Below are 18,381 nucleotides of genomic sequence, written 5' to 3'. Positions count from 1 at the left end.
TCACTTGAGCCCAGAAGTTCGAGACCAACCTGGGTGACATGGTGAAACCCCATCTCTACGAAAAATTTGCCAGGCATGGTGGCGTATGCCTGTAGTCCCAGCTACTCAGGAGGCTGAGGTGGTGGGAGGAGCACTTGAGCCTGTGAGGCGGAGGTTGTAGTGAGCAAAGATTGTGCCACTGCACTCCAGCCTGGGCAACTGACAGAGCAAGACCCTGTCTCCAAAACAAACAAACAAACAAAACACAAAGAATTTGTAATATTTAAGGCCTTTGGAATTTTAGTATATATTCTTCCCTACTGACCTATGATCTACTGACCCATGAAAAACCTCCTTTTCTTCAAAATGCAGGAGAAAAAGAGGAAAAAGGAAAGCAAAAGTTGTGGGGAAAAAAAAATGTAAAATGGAAGTTGCACGACTCAAAATATGATAGAACCTACAGTGTAGGAAAACTGAAATGTGACTTTAAAGAGAAAACTGTTAGCATTTCCTTTTATATATGCCTGGTTATTAAGGTAAGAAAGTCATGTATAATAAAAACAAAACCACTCAGTCTTATTTTTAGTATCGCATTTTGGAGAAGGAACACTGGACTGCAATTCAGACTTGGGTTCTAGTTCCCTGACACTTACTGGTGTATGTGAACTTGGTCAAGTTAGCTTAGCCTCTTTTGACTCAGGTTACTTGTGTTTAATGAAGAAAAGTAATTTCTCTGATGCAGTCATTTTCTACAGACTTATTTTTTTTTAGAACCACTTTAAAAGATCTTAAAGTAACATACTGGTTGCTATGAGGGAAATCTAGAAGATGTTTCATATTAACAAAAGGATGGTTCAGGGTCTCAGCTGGAGTAATTCTTAAATCTGCATCAATCAGCAACATTTTCTTCAACAGACTAACAAATTCTCTTCTATCAGCTTTCTCAGCCAAAAGATCACTTCCTTCCAAATCCATCACTGTGTTCACCTAAGAAAATCAAAATTTCAAGCCATCAAGTAAAAATAAGTCACAGAGAGTAGTATAAATTCCACCGTTAAAAAATAAAACAAAAATCACAACACAGGAGAGGAGAGGGAACTACAATTATCTTAAAACAAAGAAGAACAAATAATATTAACAAATCCTCAAAATGTGTTGAGGTACCAAATAGGATTCAAAGCATAAAAGAAGTTTTTAAAAATTAAACAAATATCCATTTCTAATGAAATATAGGGAAATCTGTTGGCTAGGATTTTTCCTTTCAAAGCAAAAACTTTTTTACTAAAGAACGAATAGGTAAATTAAAATTTTGATAACGACAAATGCAATTTAGTTCCTGAAAGGTTGAAAATAGAATCAGTTTCATTTGAAAAACTTAAAAACAGCATGGACTCTGTAGCCATTTAAAAACTGAGTAACATGTTTTGGGCCCCTTGGCATTCAAGTCTACCATCTAAGCATGTAAGATGAACAAATGTGGCTATGGTACTCACATGCGCTACATCATCCAGACTGTTGAAAATGTATTTTCTGGCTTCTTTAGACTTCATTCCTGTCTCTGCCTCATGCTCTTCCAATGTCTTATTGCATATATCAAAGGGAAAAAAGAATACATTATTACAAATTTCTTTAATCCTGGCACATTTAGTCTAATATATTAAATATTCTAAGGCAAATAGTAATTTCAAAAGAGACACTATCAAAAATGTATTTTTTAAAGTATACGCAAAAAAAAAATGAGAAGTGCTTGGTTTAGGCCAAGAAAAATATTACAAATGTAACAAACCCCATAAAGAAAATAACTAGGCCGGGCACGGCGGCTCACGCTTGTAATCCCAGCACTTTGGGAGGCCAAGGCGGGTGGATCACGAGGTCAAGAGATCGAGACCATCCTGGTCAACATGGTGAAACCCCGTCTCTACTAAAAATACAAAAATCAGCTGCGTGTGGTGGCGCATGCCTGTAGTCCCAGCTACTTGGGAGGCTGAGGCAGGAGAATCACTTGAACCTGGGAGGCGGAGGTTGCAGTGAACCAAGATCGCGCCACTGCACTCCAGCCTTGCAACAGAGTAAGACTCTGTCTCAAAAAATACAATAATAATAATAACTGTTTATGAAGTTAATTATTGAGGATTTACTGATTCCTCCAAAGATCCTAGCACACTTGGGATATGTAGTAAGTGGTTAGATTCATTCCCTGTCCTATAAAGTGTAATAATGTAGAACTGAGAAGATAAACACACAACACAAATGTAGTTATACACATAAAAGTTTTTTTAATTTAAGATGAATTAATAATTATGTTGCTGAATTAGAGAGTTAGTGAAGTTATTCCAAGAGGGCTTTCTTCTTAAAGAAGGAAGGGGGCTGGGCACAGTGGCTCACACCTGTAATCCCAGCACTTTGGGAGGCCAAGGCAGGCGGATCACAAGGTCAGGAGTTCAAGACCAGCCTGGCCAACATGGTGAAACCCTGTCTCTACTAAAAATACAAAAATTAGCCAGGCATGGTGGCAGGCACCTGTAATCCCAGCTACTTGGGAGGCTAAGGCAGGAGAATCGCTTGAACCTGGGAGGTGGAGGTTGCAGTGAGCCGAGATTACACCACTGCGCTCCAGCCTGGGCAAGAGAGCAAGACTTTGTCTCAAAAAAAGAAAAAGAGAAAGAGAGAGAGAAGGACGGGGCCAGGCATGGTGGATCACGCCTGTAATCCTAGCACGTTGGGAGGCGGAGGTGGGCAGTTCTCTTGAGGTCAGGAGTTCAAGACCAGCCTGGCCAACATGGTGAAACCCTGCCTCTACCAAAAATATAAAAATTAGCCGGGCATGGTGGTGCAAGCCTGTAGTCCCAGCTACTTGGGAGGCTGAGGCAGGCGAATTGGTTGAACCCAGGAGGCGGAGGTTGCAGTGAGCCAAGATGGCGCCACTGCACTCCAGCCTGGGCGAGAGAGAGAAACTCCATCTCAAAAAATAAAAACTAAAAAAATTGAAAAAAATAAAATAAAATAAAGAAGGGCCAAAAATGAAAATTCAAAAAAAGGAAGAAATATAGTAAAATGTAAATAGACATGGAAGGTATTATCCATGCATATGAGGCATCTTAGAAAACTAGTCTTCTAAATATTCTATTTTTTAATGAATTACCTTTAATCTCCAACCAGAATGAGACATATCTGTTTCTTTGCAAAAAAATCTTGTGGATTTAGTACCCACATTTAACAACTGTTCTCCTGGCAAACCTTGAGTCTGAGAAATGTATCGAATCTGAAAAATAATTTACAGAACAGAATAGTTTATTCTTTCATGTGACAGAACACTTAAGTCAGACACTAGGCTATATGTTAGGTCAGGTATGAAAATACATAGTCTATGCCCTCAAGAAATGCACTGTCTAGTGGAGAACATATATGGAAAAAATTATAATGTGGAATTATAAGTATCATAATAAATGCACGCTTGATAGAAAAGGCATACCTAAAGTAATTGTGGTCAGGTAAAATTCTAGAAGAGGTGGTCCTCAAGTTTGGTGTTAAAGGACAAATAGGAGTTTGCACTGAAAGAGTGGGGAGAAAAACTATGCCAAGGTTATAGTATGTGTAAATATAGAAAATCAAGAGAGAATAACCTCACATTCAAAGACTGGAAGTACAGAGGGTCACTAACAGAGAATGGTAAGAGATGAAATTGAACTAGCAGGTAAAGGGCTTTATCAGCAAATTAAGAAATTTGGATTATATGCCAGGAGGTAATAATGGGAAACCACTGGAAAAATTTCAGCAAGAAATTGACAGCTTACATTTTAAAGAAATGTCTGACAATGGGTGAAGGGATAAGGCCAGAGAAGAGATGAAGAGGGTCTGAACTGAGAGACTGAATGGGAATAGAGAGGAAGGAATGGATTCAAAAGAGATTTAGATTGATAAACACTGGGTGAATTACTATGGTGGGAGTTTGGAGGAAACACTTTTTTGAGACACTGATATATACACAGCTGTGTCTCTTGGGGAAGAGGCATGGTAGTTGATGGGCTCTCCCAAGGGTGATACTAAAAAACTCCAGCTTCAGGGCTTCTGAACTTAATATTTCTGTTTGAAACATTCTTCCCCTAGATATCTGTATGGCTCTCTTGCTTCCTTCAGCTCTTGGTTCAAATGTTGCCTTATTGACCAGGCCTTCCATGACCCATCAATAAATAACGGCAAACTCTGCCCTTCTCAGTAACTCACCCACCATCCTCCTGGCTATATTTTTCTCCACTGCGCTTTTCATTATCTAATATTCTATGCATTTACTTTCCATTTTCTTACCTCTCCATGAGACTCTAAGTTCCATGAACGGAAGAATTTTTTTGTTTACTTATATACCCCCAGAGCCCATGAAAGTGCATGGTACACAGTAGGCCCTGAAATATTGATTCCCCCACTTAATGAGTGGGAAACACGGGGGATAAACAGGGGCTTAGCAAAGAGAGAGATCTCTGGGGGCTAAAATTGTTTTTCCATCCTTCCTTCTTACTAAAACTTGACTCCCCTAACCTGTATTTGAGAATAAGTGCAAAGATGTTTTTTTAACCTCAAAGACTCTGCTCCATCAATTAGTCCATCCTCTTCTGCATCTTCTATTTCTTCCTCCCTCTGAGCTCTCTCCCCACCAAATACAAAAATGTTCAATATCTTCTATCCTAAAAAAAAAAAGTAAACCTCCCTTAACTACTTAACTCTCTCGTCTTACCCTTAAAATAGTAGCCTATATTATTTCACTTCCCATTCACACCTCAACACACTGCAATCTGAATTTTAGTCTCATCACCCTCATGATATGGTATTAAGATAAGTAATGGCCTGTTAGTAACAGACATGTTTAATAATCACATATAAATCCTTATTTTACTTTGATACTAATGGCTACTACCATTTTACATAAAAATCGCTCAATTTCCACGACGCCATGCTTTTCTGGGTCTCTTCTACTTCCTGACAGTCTTTAACTCTGTTCCTCTGTTTGTTCTTTATATGACACTGCTTTCCAGAGTCTTGTCTTTCTTTTTTCCCTCTACAAGTCCTAAGTGCCCACAATTTTATCTCTAAATCTGCGCCTCAATCTTTGGCTCTAGCTCTGGAGCTCCAGGCCCAACCGCTTATTGAAACTTTCAACCTGGCTGGACTCTATATCTCCAACTGAATATATCCTAAACTGATTTGCCCCCAGATCTGCTAATCCTAATGTATTTTCCTCCTATGGTTAATAGCAACACCATCCACTCAAATCAGAAACCTGAAATTGATGCCCTGTACCTCTTCCTCATCATGCTCCCCCAATATCCAAAAGCCTAACAATTTTACTTCATTAACATTTTTCACAACTGTCCCCTCCTCTCCATCCCTACCTCAGATCCTCTTCAATTCTGAGTTATACAATTTCACAAGCCTCCTGATTATTCTACCTGCCTCCAGTCTCTCCTAATGTCCTTAGCCGCTCACGCCCAATTCATTATTCACACTACTGCCAAACATTCTGGCAAAATGTGCATCTGTTAGTCACTTGTGTAAAATTACTTAATAACCCTTTACTGCCTAGAGCAAGCTTGTCCAACCAGAAGTCCCGGCCCAGGGGCTGCATGAGGTCCAATACAAATTTGTAAACTTTCTTAAGACATTATGAGATTTTTTTGTGATTTTTTTTTTTTTAAAGCTCATCAGCTATCATTAATTTTAGTGTATTTTATGTGTGGCCCAAGACAATTTTTCTTCTTCCAATGTGGCCCAGGGAAGCCAAAAGGCTAGACACCCCTGACCTAGAGGATCAATTCCAGACCTCTAACCCTAGCAAACAGGCCCTCCAACTATATATATTCCCTGCCCTTTTATATTCTCCTGGTACTTCGGCACCAACTGGCACCATGTCGAACCACATGGGCCAGTTTCTCTTTCCTATATTGTTCTCGAACTTCTACTTATCCAACATACATATTCCCCCTTTCACCAAATCCACAAGACAAACTTCTACTATTCCTTCTTCAAGACTCAGCTCAAGAATCTTCTCCTCTATAAAGCCATCCCTGACGATGCCAAGCAGAGGTAATTACTCTACTCTGTGCTATCATCACACCTAGAACATGCATTTATAATTATTATAACTATATTACAATTTTTTACATGTCTGTTTTCCCTACTAGATTGTGTGCCTTCCAATAACAGTCTGTTTTATCCACATTTGTATCCCCAATTTTATATAAAATGACAACGAAAACTTCCACATTACAAACTGGCTTCATTTCGTTAAAGTGCTGTTCTTTCTCCCCACCTCCCACCCACTAAGTAGCTAACTTCCTTATTTTAAGGAAACAGAAAAATGGAAGGAAAAAGTACTAAGAGTTTGGTGCCTAGATGCTGCATCAGACAGAAAAGCCATCAACAATTCAATTTCAACAAACAGAGCATCTATTATTTGCTAGATGCTAAAGACATGTAGATAAATATGGTGCCAATCTTCAAAAGCACAATTCAGTAGAACAGAAAAATATTTAAGCATATAATCTGCAATTAAGCTAGTAAGCCATTGTGAAGAAGAAAACAAAGTGCTAAAAAAGCAAAGAGAATAGAGCAATTAATGTACCTCAGGAGTTGAGATGGCTCTGTAAAACAAAAAACAAACAAACAAACAAAAGTGGCCAGTGAAAATCTGAGTTTATTACTTGTCATACTGTCTGCCCAGTCTTTTGAAGAGAAAAATGTTCCATCTAGAACCCCTAATATATAAATATATTTGCCTTCCTCCATCTCCAGTGGATGAAGAATGGGAATCTGACACATAATTCTAAACTGGCCTCATGAACTCAACTAGAAAAAAACTAAGTCAATCAGATTAACTATGTCAGAAATGTGAACTAAGAAATACCAATGACTCTTGGGGGATGAGCTAAAGGGTTATTAGGTAGAGCCGGAGTTTTATGGTCATGAAACCTAATCAAAGGTAAGGTGAGCAGAAACTCAGATCAGAATAGACAAAGGCACTTGAAGAACAGCCAAGTCACACTGATGGTCCAGTACCAGTGAAGTTCTACCAACATCTGTTAATTCCTCTCGTGTCGCCTTACTTTGAAAAGCACCTTCAATTCCATACTTCACAAATCCCAGTCATATTATAGTTCCATTCTTAGATCCTTGTGATAGTCCACTGATATAGTTTGAATGTTTGTCCCCTCCAAATCTCATGTTGAAATATAATCCCCAGTGTTGGAGGTAGGGCCTGGTGGGAGGTGTTTGGGTAATAGGGGCCGATACCTCATGAATGGCTTGGTGCTGTCCCCCCAACAGTGAGTTCTCTCAAGATCTGGTTGTTTCAAGGTGTGTAGTACCCATCTCCCCCATCTCTTGCTCCTATTCTCACCATGTGAAACGCCTGCTCCCCTTCCCTTCTGCCATGATTGTAAGCTACCTAAGACCCTCACCAGAAGCACATGCTGGAGCCCTGCTTGTACAGCCTGCAGAACTGTGAGCCAATTAAATCTCTTTTCTTTATAAATTACTCAGGTATTCCTTTATAGCAATGCAAATGGCCTAATACATCCACACATATAAATAAATGTCCCCTTATTTGGGCCAGCTTGTGTGGGTCTCTTTGCTAAATAGCCTGACAAAAATAGAAATCTTGAAAGATTTATTTTCTCTGCAGTTGAAATAGTGAACTTTATTTTTCTTACATAAGACTTGAAATTACCAAATATAATTTGAATATAAAGTCAGACTCTTAGTTGTTCTGGATAACATTCTATCTAAACTCCAACAAACATTTTGGAGAAATAATGAACATTTACCAACTATTGTCCATCCGTCTATCCATCCATTCATCCATTCAACCATCCATCCATCCATAAAATAGTCCTTAATTCCCTAGAATACTTTTGATATGTCCCTAGTAAATATAAGTCCTGTAAATAGAACACTAATAAGACAGTTTATCTACAATCAAGACAGGAAGGGATTCACGCACTGTAACAATTGGTGGGTAGGATCTTCCCTAACCACACACACTAAATATAGATGTCTATATAAACGGAAATAAAATGCACATACAAGAAAATATGAAATTATAAATTTTCAACACGGTCAGTGTCTACTTACAGAATCTAAAATCCAAAGAGAAAATGGCATTGGAAAGGTTTTAAGACATGATAAATATGATTAAAGGGCTAGAACACAAACCCTATAATGAAGAATTAAAATACTTTGAATATTTTTCCTGCTGACTCAAATTTGGCTTTTAAAAATATAATAATTTGGCCAGGCGCGGTGGCTCGTGCCTGTTATTGCAACACTTTGGGAGGCCTAGGCAGGAGGACCACTTGAGCCCACGAGTTCAACTTTGCAGTAAACCATGATCCTGCCACTGCACTCCATCCAGGGCAACAGAGAAAGACTCTGTCTCTAAAGAAGAATATGATATACTGTTAAGAACTCTTTAGTTTACATCTATAAAATGGAGGCAACAGTAGTGTGTACTTCATAGGGTTGTTACGAGCATTAAATGAGTTAATATAAAGTGTTAACAGCAGTTCCTAGTACATAAAAGAGCTCAGTAAGCATTAATTAGTTAATATTACTATTGCCCACTGCACTGCCACTGTAAGGCAAAAAATAATAATTAGAAAAAAACTGCCAGGCCAGGTGCAGTGGCTCACACCTGTAATCCCAGCATGTCTGGAGGTCCAGGCGGGAGGATGGCTTAAGCCCAGGACTTTGAGACCAGCTTGGGCAACATAGAGAAAGAGACCCCATCTCTACAAAAAATTAAAAATGAGTCAGGCATGCTGGTGCACACCTGTATCCCCAGCTACTGGGCACAGCCTGAGGTAGGAGGATTCCTCGAGCCCAGTAGTTCAAGACTGCAGTGAGCTATGATCATGCCACTGCATTCCAGCCTAGATGACAGACTGAGACCCTGTCTAAAAAAAATACCAACTCCCCAGTTGGGGTGTCCAAGTATATCTAGGCAGCTGATTACTGGAATAAGGAACAGATAATAGAGAGAGACATACCCTACTGGTGGCCCTTTCACATCCTAACATTAGGTGATCACAATCTAGCGAGATGGGGAAAATCTATGAAAGTCAAACACATTAATAAACAGACTAAAGCTGTTCTGAGAAACATATGTGGCCAGGCGCAGTGGCTCTTGCCTGTATTCCCAACACTTTGGGAGGCCAAGGTGGGTGGATCATTTGAGATCAGGAGTTTAAGACCTGCCTCGTCAATATGATGAAACCCCATCTCTACTAAAAATAAAAAATTAGCCAGGCATGGTGGCACACACCTGTAGTCCCAGCTACTAAGGAGGCTGAGGTGGAAAAATTGCTTGAACCTATGAGGCGGAGGTTGCAGTGAGCCGAGATGGAACCACTGCACTCAGGCCTGGGCGACAGAGTGAGACCCTGTCTCAAAAAAGAAAAAGAAAAAGAAAAAAGAAAAACATATGTGAACATTTTAACAAGTGCAAAAAAAAAAGCACTTGAAAGTCCTAAACCAAGTTAAGACTGATAGGGAAAAAAAAAAAAATTATCAAAATTTATCAAAGCCTTTATAACAAATACCATGCTTGAAAATGAGCTTAAAGTCCCAGATTAGGGCCAAAACAAAGACGCCCACAAAATCACTACAATTTATTTGCTTTGCATTCATGTATTTTGTAAAATATTTTAAAACATTGAACTGTGGGCGGGGCACAGTGGCTCACGCCTGTAATCCCAACACTTTGGGAGGCTGAGGCAGGCAAATCACAAGGTCAAGAGTTCGAGACCAGCCTGGCCAACATGGTGAAACCCCATCTCTACTAAAAATACAAAAATTGGCCGGGCATGGTGGTGTGTGCCTGTAATCCCAGCTACTCAGGAGGCTGAGGCAGAAGAATCGCTTGAATCCGGGAGGCGGATGTTGCAGTGAGCTGAGATCACGCCACTGCACTCCAGCCTGGGCGACAGAGCAAGACTTCATCTCAAAAGAAAAAAGAAAAACAAACAAAGACAAAAAAACCCCACTGAACTGTGAGACTATTGATGCTATATGCCAAGGGCCAATGACTTTTTTTAATCCCTTTGGTAATATACATCCTGAAAACATTGTCAATCTGGATCAGATAATACCTGTTCCAAGTTTAGTTTAAAAAAAACAAACATTCATTATAAAATTTAGAAAAACTGAGTTTTGGTCAAGGCTTTGTCTTTAAAATTACTATTGTGACTTTTGACAAGTGAATTCATTTTTCTGGGCCTCAGTTTTCTCCTTTATAAAATGAAAAGGGGGCAGTTACTGGGTAATCTCTGGGGTCCTTTTCAATACTAATATCAGTTGTCCAAGATGAACTGTGAAGTCCTAATCGAGTATAATAACAAATCAACTTGAAATTGCCACTAGAGGGTGTCCTGCTCCAGGGCGGTATGCATGCCATAGGCTAATCTACAAAGCCAAGGGTGTATTTCTAGCATTTTACTGGTGCCTCAGTATTCCAACAGCTAAAGGATTATGGGACTCTGATTCAATTACTAACTCGTTCAGAACTGACGGTAGTCTTGCATCTGTATCAAAGCTAGTAATTGGGTAGAAAGCTGAAAGAAGACAGGATGTATGGAAAATTTTACAGAAACCCAGTGGAATTCTGAACATGGAGGAGGGAAGGTAGAGAATATGGAAAACCTAACCTAAAAGGGAAGGTTCATGGATGATGACAAGAGATTAAAGTCAATGATAACATCTAATCTAATAATCAGTATTAAATGACAGAGTCATCTCAGGAACATTTAAGTCACCTAAATTAATTACCTCTCTTTTTCCTCTTGATAGAGAAAATAGCCCTAAAATACAAGGCTATAATCATGATTATGTAATAGGTGCTTTAAATTCTTCTATTTTCTATTTTTTCTTGCTTGAAAGTTAAATATCATCTAAATAAAAATATTCACTAATCAGAATGACAAAATTAATGTAACTACTTTGTTGATTTTGACTAGCATTTTCTATTAGAATGAGTTGAGTACATTATCTCAAAGATACTCAAAGAATAATAAATAAGATGGCAGTTTCTCCAAAAAATAATCTTGGTATTAATATTTAAGACTACTAGCACACAACACTGTTTAATAGTACAGAAAGGCTAATGAATATACCTGAAAACTACCATGAAAAGTGTGCTTAATAAGGTAATTTGCTGAATTCTACCGAGAATCATTAAACAGTGCTAAAAGAGAATTTCAGCACCACTCAAAACAGCTAAAAAGACTGAGAAGAGTTCAAGTTACTGAGGTATTTAAAACACCAATAATGGCAGTTGGTTTAAGACCAAAAGTTATAACGCCTTTTAGGAGCTTTTATGCCTTGGGAGGGGCTGACGTTTCACACATCAAAGTTTGTCACCCAAGCAAAGCACAATTAATTAAATGGACACACAATCCAACCTTTTATATGTTTACAGTATAAAATTTTCCCAATAATTTTACAAAACTGGTTTTGAGATTCTATAGGCTGTAACTTTATGAAAACTTACTTCAGCATTATAAAACAGTTTTCAAAATCAATTCTACAAGATCCCAGATTCTGCCACTTTATGTTAAAAAGACTTTCCAGTGTATTGTACACCTGCAGCCATGTGTTCCTGTAAGTCTGTTATTATTCTTTACTTTTTACCAATTCTATTAGATTATCATTATTTGTTACCTGATCATACTCCAAGGCTCCTGGGTAGAGCGGCCATCCAAGAAATAATTCTGCAATCACACATCCCAATGACCACATGTCTATGGCTTCACAAAATGGCAACCCCAATATAATCTCTGGAGCTCTGAAATTTAAAATTAAAACAAAAATCAGGGTGGTTTTTCTCTAAAATTACCTAATTTCAACTGGCATTCTAGGAAGTTGGTAAAATGACAGAGGTATCACATTCTATGTATAGGAACTCTTCACTATTTCAGAACTCTTTGAAACCTAGACATAATCCTGAATTAATCTGAAAGGGGTACTATGAGTACAACATTTCTATAATAAAGTCTCTTCCACTGTAATCCTTTTCCCTTATAGTTTTACTAACATAACATTTTTTGAAAAAGGAAAAACATACATCTTGTTTTTAAGACTACAGCAGATCAGAAATAACACAATAGGAAGAGAACTGGCAAACTATTAAATACATACTATGACATCAGCAGAACTGAAAACCAGACATTGAGAGAGAAAACAAAAACAAAGCAAAATCCTCAAAGGCTAAAAGTGAATCTAGACCTAGATATTACTTCAGAATACAGTAATAAATATTTACCTAATTGGAGCCATTAGTCATCCAAGAGATTAAACTAAATTCAGTGTATTCTGTCTTAAAAGGCAGACAAGTATACAGCATATAACAACATAGTTAAAAAGCATTTCAGCACTTAAAAGTGTTTGGTCATTTGGGAAATGTACTCCAAGAAACATATTATTCCTAGATAAATTATGTTGCACCTTCATATGGATTTCCCTTGAGAAGATTCATGTTCTAAGACAGACTCCATGTACAGCTGTGTAATTCCAAAGAAGTCATATGGATCACAGTTATCCTAGATTAGTGTGCATGTGTTTAATTTTAAAACAATCTCAATCTTACAGAGAAGTTGCAAGAACAGTACATATTTTTTCCTTAAATCACCCGAGAATAACTTGCCAAATATCTGTATACTTTATAGTTCCTACAAAGAAGAATATTCTCCTACATAACCACAATACAATCATCAAAATCAAGAAATGAACTCTGATACATCTCCACCTTCTAAGCTTCAGACTCCATTTAAGTTTGGCCAATTATACTAATACCGTCCTTTTTGGCAAAAGGATCCAACTCAGGATCATGCATTGCATCTAGTTGTCCTATCTCTTTCAGTCTTTTTCAATATGGAATAATTCCTAAGTTTTGTCTAGATTTCCATGACCTTTGTATAACATATTACAGGACAGATATTTGAAGAAACGTCCCTCAGTGTGGGTTTGTCTGATGTTTCCTCATAATTAGATTCAGAGGAACATCACAGAAGTGATCATGTTTTCTCATTGTATCTTATTAGGCATGCAATTCTGATATGTTCCATTACTAATAATTTTTACTTTGATCACATGATGTCTGCTATATTTCTCTACTACTAAGTTCCTACTTTTCTCTTTCTAATTAAGTATTTTGTGGGATCTCAAATTGAAACTATATAAATAATCCATTTCTTATCAAACTTTCATTTTTTTCATTTATTTACCTGTATGAGTACAGATTAAAGGATTCCTACTTTGTTCAATGAGTTATAATCCATGACTATAATTACTTATTTTGATTCTCAGATTTTCCCAGATTTGGCGTGGTAGCTCACACCTGTAATCCCAGCACTTTGGGAGGCCAACATGGTAGGATTGCTTGAGCCCAAGAGTTCCAGATCAGCCTGGGCAACATAATGAGACCTCATCTCTCCAAAAAAAGAAAAAATTTTTTTTAATTAGCCAGGGTGATGGTCCGCACCTGTAGTCCCAGCTATTTGGGAGACTGAGGTGGAAGGGTCACTTGAGCCCAGGAGGTCCAAGCTGCAGTGAGCTGAGATTGTGCCACTGCACTCCAGCCTGAGGGACAGAGCCAGGCTCTGTCTCGGGGGAAAAAAAAAAAAATCCCAGATTTGACCAGTCATAACTCCCTCAGACTTTTATGTTCTTCTGACAATAATCTCTGATTATTTCTTTGCTTTCTGACACAGCAAGATATTCCAGGCACATCTTGTTCTTTCCCTGCTCCAGTCCTAAAAACAGCTATTTCTCTGAGGATCTCTGGTATCTTTTCGTATAGAATAGACCTTTGAAACAAAGATCAGGGAGCTATGGATCCTCATTACTATTGGGATGGTTCCCAGACCTTCTCAGTACGTATATTACCTAGAGTTAAGCAAAATAAGCCTGCTAATTTCTTAACTGAGACTGGGGGTTGTCATCTCCTAAGGCAGTGGTTCTCAATCTTGGCTACACATTACAATTATTTGGTCCTGGCCACACCCTACACCAATTAAATCAGAAACCCTGGGGATTAGACTTAGGAATCAAGAGTGGCTTCAACATATAGCCAAAGTTGAGAACCAAAGCCTTACACTCAAGAAGTTAGACCAATGGGAGGACCACCCCATTTCTTCCCTACAACTCTTCTGGCAAAGGAAATTCAGAGGATAATGAACAAGCTGTTTTCTACTACAGACTTGGGATCTGTCCAGTGAATATTCTACTCCTGGCCCCATCTCTGCTGTAAATAATACTTAAGATTCAGTAGAACCTTAACCAATCCACAGGCATTTGTTGAAAACAAGAGCCACGGGGAGATTCTATGAGGTATAAAAGATCTTCAAAACATGGTTATAAGAAGTTTTCATTCTTTTGACAAAATATTCAAGTGTGTGTATGGATGTATACACATTAATTATATTTAGGTATAATCAAATGCTAAAACGTGTTGTAGAAAGATAAAAAAAGGAAGCTGCACTGTTATTAATCCTATATATTCACAATATTGTACCAAAAAAAGCTATCAAAGATGGAGACCTTATCCCTTTTTGTTCATTATTTGTGTACCTAGAACCTTGTAAAGAATATGCATTCAGTAAACATTTCTCAAATAAATCATTTCAACACAGGTTGAGTCACACAAAGAAAAGTATCAGAGTACGGTCTGGTTTTGGACTAGGCCTTCAAATACAGAAGTCTAGGCAGAAAGAAAGAGAACGGGGCACAAGAGTTTATAAAGAGCATATATTAACCTATACTAAAAAAGATTCAAAGCAAAAATGCAGTTTTGAAAGTACGGCGTGGAAATGAGATTCACTACCAATGTTAACCATATACTAATCTGAATGCAAAACAAAAATCAGTAAGACTAATGATAGGCCTATTACTGTGTGTATAAAAGTTTTATGATTATTTTGAAATATTTAATATGGAAAATTCTTCATAGGATTTGAAATTTTTCGGTGTAGAACTTTTCAGTATCGCATTTGGCAATAAAGGAAAGTAACAATAACAGCACCTAAGATATACCACTTAAAGAGACTGAAATCATTTTAATTCTGTTAACAGTAAGAAAAGAGTTTCTGTCAGACAAAGAGCAACAAATTCCTTCTGCCATGTGCTACCATTTAATGAATAAGTCAAGTTTCTAACTGATGGTGACAACAAGAATACAGAGTCATCTTTACAAAATCTTGATCAGGAATTGCACATAGCCACTCAAACATAAAACCTGAGATACAAAAGTTACACTCACAGAAGCAAATTCAAGTTTCCCATTTTAAAATACAAAAGAGTTTTAACTGGGAGTTTTATACAAGTTCACTATCTATTATTGCATTAGTTCAGATCCTCTGAGAAGCAAATTAGATACACCAGAAATTTGCTGGGGAAGATGCCTGGGCAGCATACAGGCAGAGGAAGCAGAAGGAGGTGAGGAGAAACTTGAGCAGGGTCTGAGGGTGGAAGAAGAGAGGCAAAGGAGTAGTTAGGTACAAAGAACCTCCCACAGCAGTGCAGTTATGAGAAAGTCTCGGATAGGCCAATACCAAGTCCCTAAGCAAACATTATCTGTATGAGGAGCCTCCCATCAAGCAAGAATAGCCCAACTCTAGTGCCCCACACTGTGCCTGGTCATTGGTGGGAAGGGGCCCAAAGGAAGTATGGCCTCAGCCTGAGCACTGCAGCACATCTGAAGGTGCAGCAGCTGGAGGCTCTCAGCCAGCTGCTCTACACAGGGGACTCTCTTGAAGGGGATTCTGAGTGGCACACTTTCACAGCTGCCACAACTAGCTTCCCAAAAGCTTCCGCATTTCATTTCACAATACGTTATCTATCATAGAGAAAATGCAGTAAATTTCTTCACTAAGTCCCCTACAAACAAGACCAAATCCTCCCCAGTTAACCGTAGCATGCCATGCATTTTCTATGTATATCATACCATAGCATGAGGAAAGTTGGGAAGCAATGCCTGAAAGCACTTAAAATCTAGATGAAACTGCCAGAGACATGACAGTTCTACCAGCCAGTTTACAACACAATACACTTTAAAAAATAAACCATGCATTGAAAGAATACATCCGTCTGTCAGTAGTGAATAAAGCTTAGTTTACTGGTTTCATCTTAATTGGCTCTCAAATTCCTCCCATGGGCTAAATATACTTATGTATGGAAAAGACCATAGCAAGAATTCTGACTAATGGACCACTCACAGAAATCTTCTGTCCTACTCCTACAGAAAGTTCTTCCACTTTTTTCCTCTACTTTAACTCTTATCCTCTGGGCATGTGTATGTGGCAGTGCTAAGGATATTGCAGAGAATAGACATCATTTGTACTTTTGTAGAACAGTCAAGGCGCAAATTAAACATGCCAGTTGAATGGAGAATACAACTAAACCTGTTTCTCCCACTCTATAAATAATAACTCACAGTTAGAAGGTAAGTGTGAAAACCATAAACACAACAGTTTAGGGCATGTGATAAAGCCAATCTACATCTGAAATGCCATTTCTTTTCCTTTTTAATTTTTTGCCATGTGCTTTTAGTTGAATTTATCAATCCTTTTACTCTAAAATCTTGAAGCACTGATATAAAACTTATGTTAAAGTGGTTAAGTTGAAAAACAATTTTCATTTTATCCACTAGAAGTCACTCCCCCACTTCCTCAAACTTCTCCATCATTAGGCCACCACAAATCCACTTTCTGTCTCTATAGATTTGCCTATTCTGGACATTTCATATAAATGGAATCCAGCCGGACGTGGTGGCTCACGCCTGTAATCCCAGCACTTTTGGAGGCTAAGCCGGGAGGATCACTTGAGGTCAGGAGTTCAAGACCAGCCTGGCCAACATGGTAAAACTCTGTCTCTACTAAAATACAAAAATTAGCCAGGTGTGGTGGTGTGCACCTGTAATCCCGGCTACTTGGGAGGCTGAGGCAGAAGAATTGCTTGAGACTGGGAGGCAAAGGTTGCAGTGAGCCAAGATCACACCACTGCACTCCAGCCTGGGCGACCAGAGCTAGACTCTGTCTTCAAAAAATAAATAAATAAATAAATGGAATCCCATAATACGTAGTCTTTGTGACTGGCTTCTTTCACTTGGCATAATGTTTTCAGTGTTCAACCATGTTTTAACACATATCTGCACTTCATTTATTTTTACTGCTGAATAATATTCCCTTGTATACAATATTTTATTTATCCATTCATCGGGTAATGGACATTTGGGTTGTTTCTACTTTTTGTCTATTATAAAAAATGAGCTGTTAACAGGACAGGCCATGTCAGCTCACCAGGATGCTGAGAAGAACACACTCCAGTGCTCAGGAAGGTCAGAGTAGAGAGGGTCTACATGAAGAACAACTATGGCCTCAGACAGAACTGGCCTATTCAGGAAGAAAATGCCTTTGATGGAACATATATTCAAAAAGGAAACAGTGGCCACTCGTTTTTCTAGTTTTTTTTTCTGAGACGGAGTCTCGCTCTGTCACCCAGGCTGGAGTGCAGTGGCGCAGCCTTGACTCACTGCAATCTCCACCTTCTGGGTTCAAGCAATTCTGCTGCCTCAGCCTCCTGAGTAGCTGGGACTACAGGCATGTGCCACCATGCCAGGCTAATTTTTGTGTTTTTAGTAAAGATGAGGTTTCGCCACATTGGCCAGGCTGGTCTCGAACTCCTGGCCTCAAGTGATTTGCCTGCCTCGGCCTCCTGAAGTGCTGGGATTACAGGTGTGAGCCCTTGGCTATGGGCACTAGTTTTTAAAGGAACTATTGATTTTTCTTCCTACTTTGTCCAGTGCAACAGCCTTTATGATTGAGCTAATCTTGTCCTATTCATTTTTCAAACCTCTAGGCCACTAAAAGAAAATAGTAAGAACCTCTTGCTCATATACTGGCAATCCAATATAAAAGAACATGGATCATGCATGCAATTCCCTTCAAGCAAATTTCATTGAACTTTATGTTACAGTAGTACTAAAAAGTTGGGAATGTAATGGCCAGGTGTGGTGGCTCATGCCTGTAAGCCCAGCACTTTGGGAGGCCGAGGCAGGCAGATCACGAGGTCAGGAGATCGAGACCATCCTGGCTAACACGGTGAAACCCCATCTCTACTAAAAATACAAAAAATTAGCTGGGTGTGGTGGCAAGCGCCTGTAGTCCCAGCTACTCGGGAGGCTGAGGCAGGAGAATGGTGTGAACCCGGGAGGCGGAGCTTGCAGTGAGCCAAGATCGCGCCACTGCACTCCAGTCTGGGTGACGGAGCAAGACTCTGTGTCTCAAAAAATAATAATAAAAATAAAAAGTTGGGAATGTATGAAGAAAAGCTCTGGGAAGACAAACACTGGAGCCTGGTAAGGAA

General features: G+C 38.8%; 1 protein-coding gene across 7 annotated transcripts in view; it reads right to left on the bottom strand.

Moving 5' to 3' along the window:
* HIPK3 (homeodomain interacting protein kinase 3) overlaps positions 1–18,381 on the bottom strand; it is a 100,352-nt gene that overhangs the window by 16,708 nt on the left and 65,263 nt on the right. For 6 of the 7 annotated variants that reach the window (NM_001278163.2, NM_005734.5, NM_001048200.3 and 3 more), the window contains exons 3-6: positions 11,683–11,806; positions 3,122–3,241; positions 1,473–1,559; positions 782–966 (exon numbers count right to left, since the gene is read on the bottom strand). In NM_001278163.2, coding sequence (NP_001265092.1) covers positions 782–966; positions 1,473–1,559; positions 3,122–3,241; positions 11,683–11,806 — 516 coding nt within the window. Of the gene's footprint in view, positions 1–781; positions 967–1,472; positions 1,560–3,121; positions 3,242–4,549; positions 4,569–11,682; positions 11,807–18,381 lie in introns of those variants that run through there. The other variant, XM_047426225.1, reaches the window with a different exon arrangement.

This window comes from Homo sapiens, chromosome 11 (genome assembly GCF_000001405.40).
Source record: "Homo sapiens chromosome 11, GRCh38.p14 Primary Assembly".
In the NCBI taxonomy this organism is placed as follows: Eukaryota; Metazoa; Chordata; class Mammalia; order Primates; family Hominidae; genus Homo; species Homo sapiens.
Note: the sequence above shows the minus strand (reverse complement) of the source record. Positions and strands in the feature narration are given on the sequence as shown.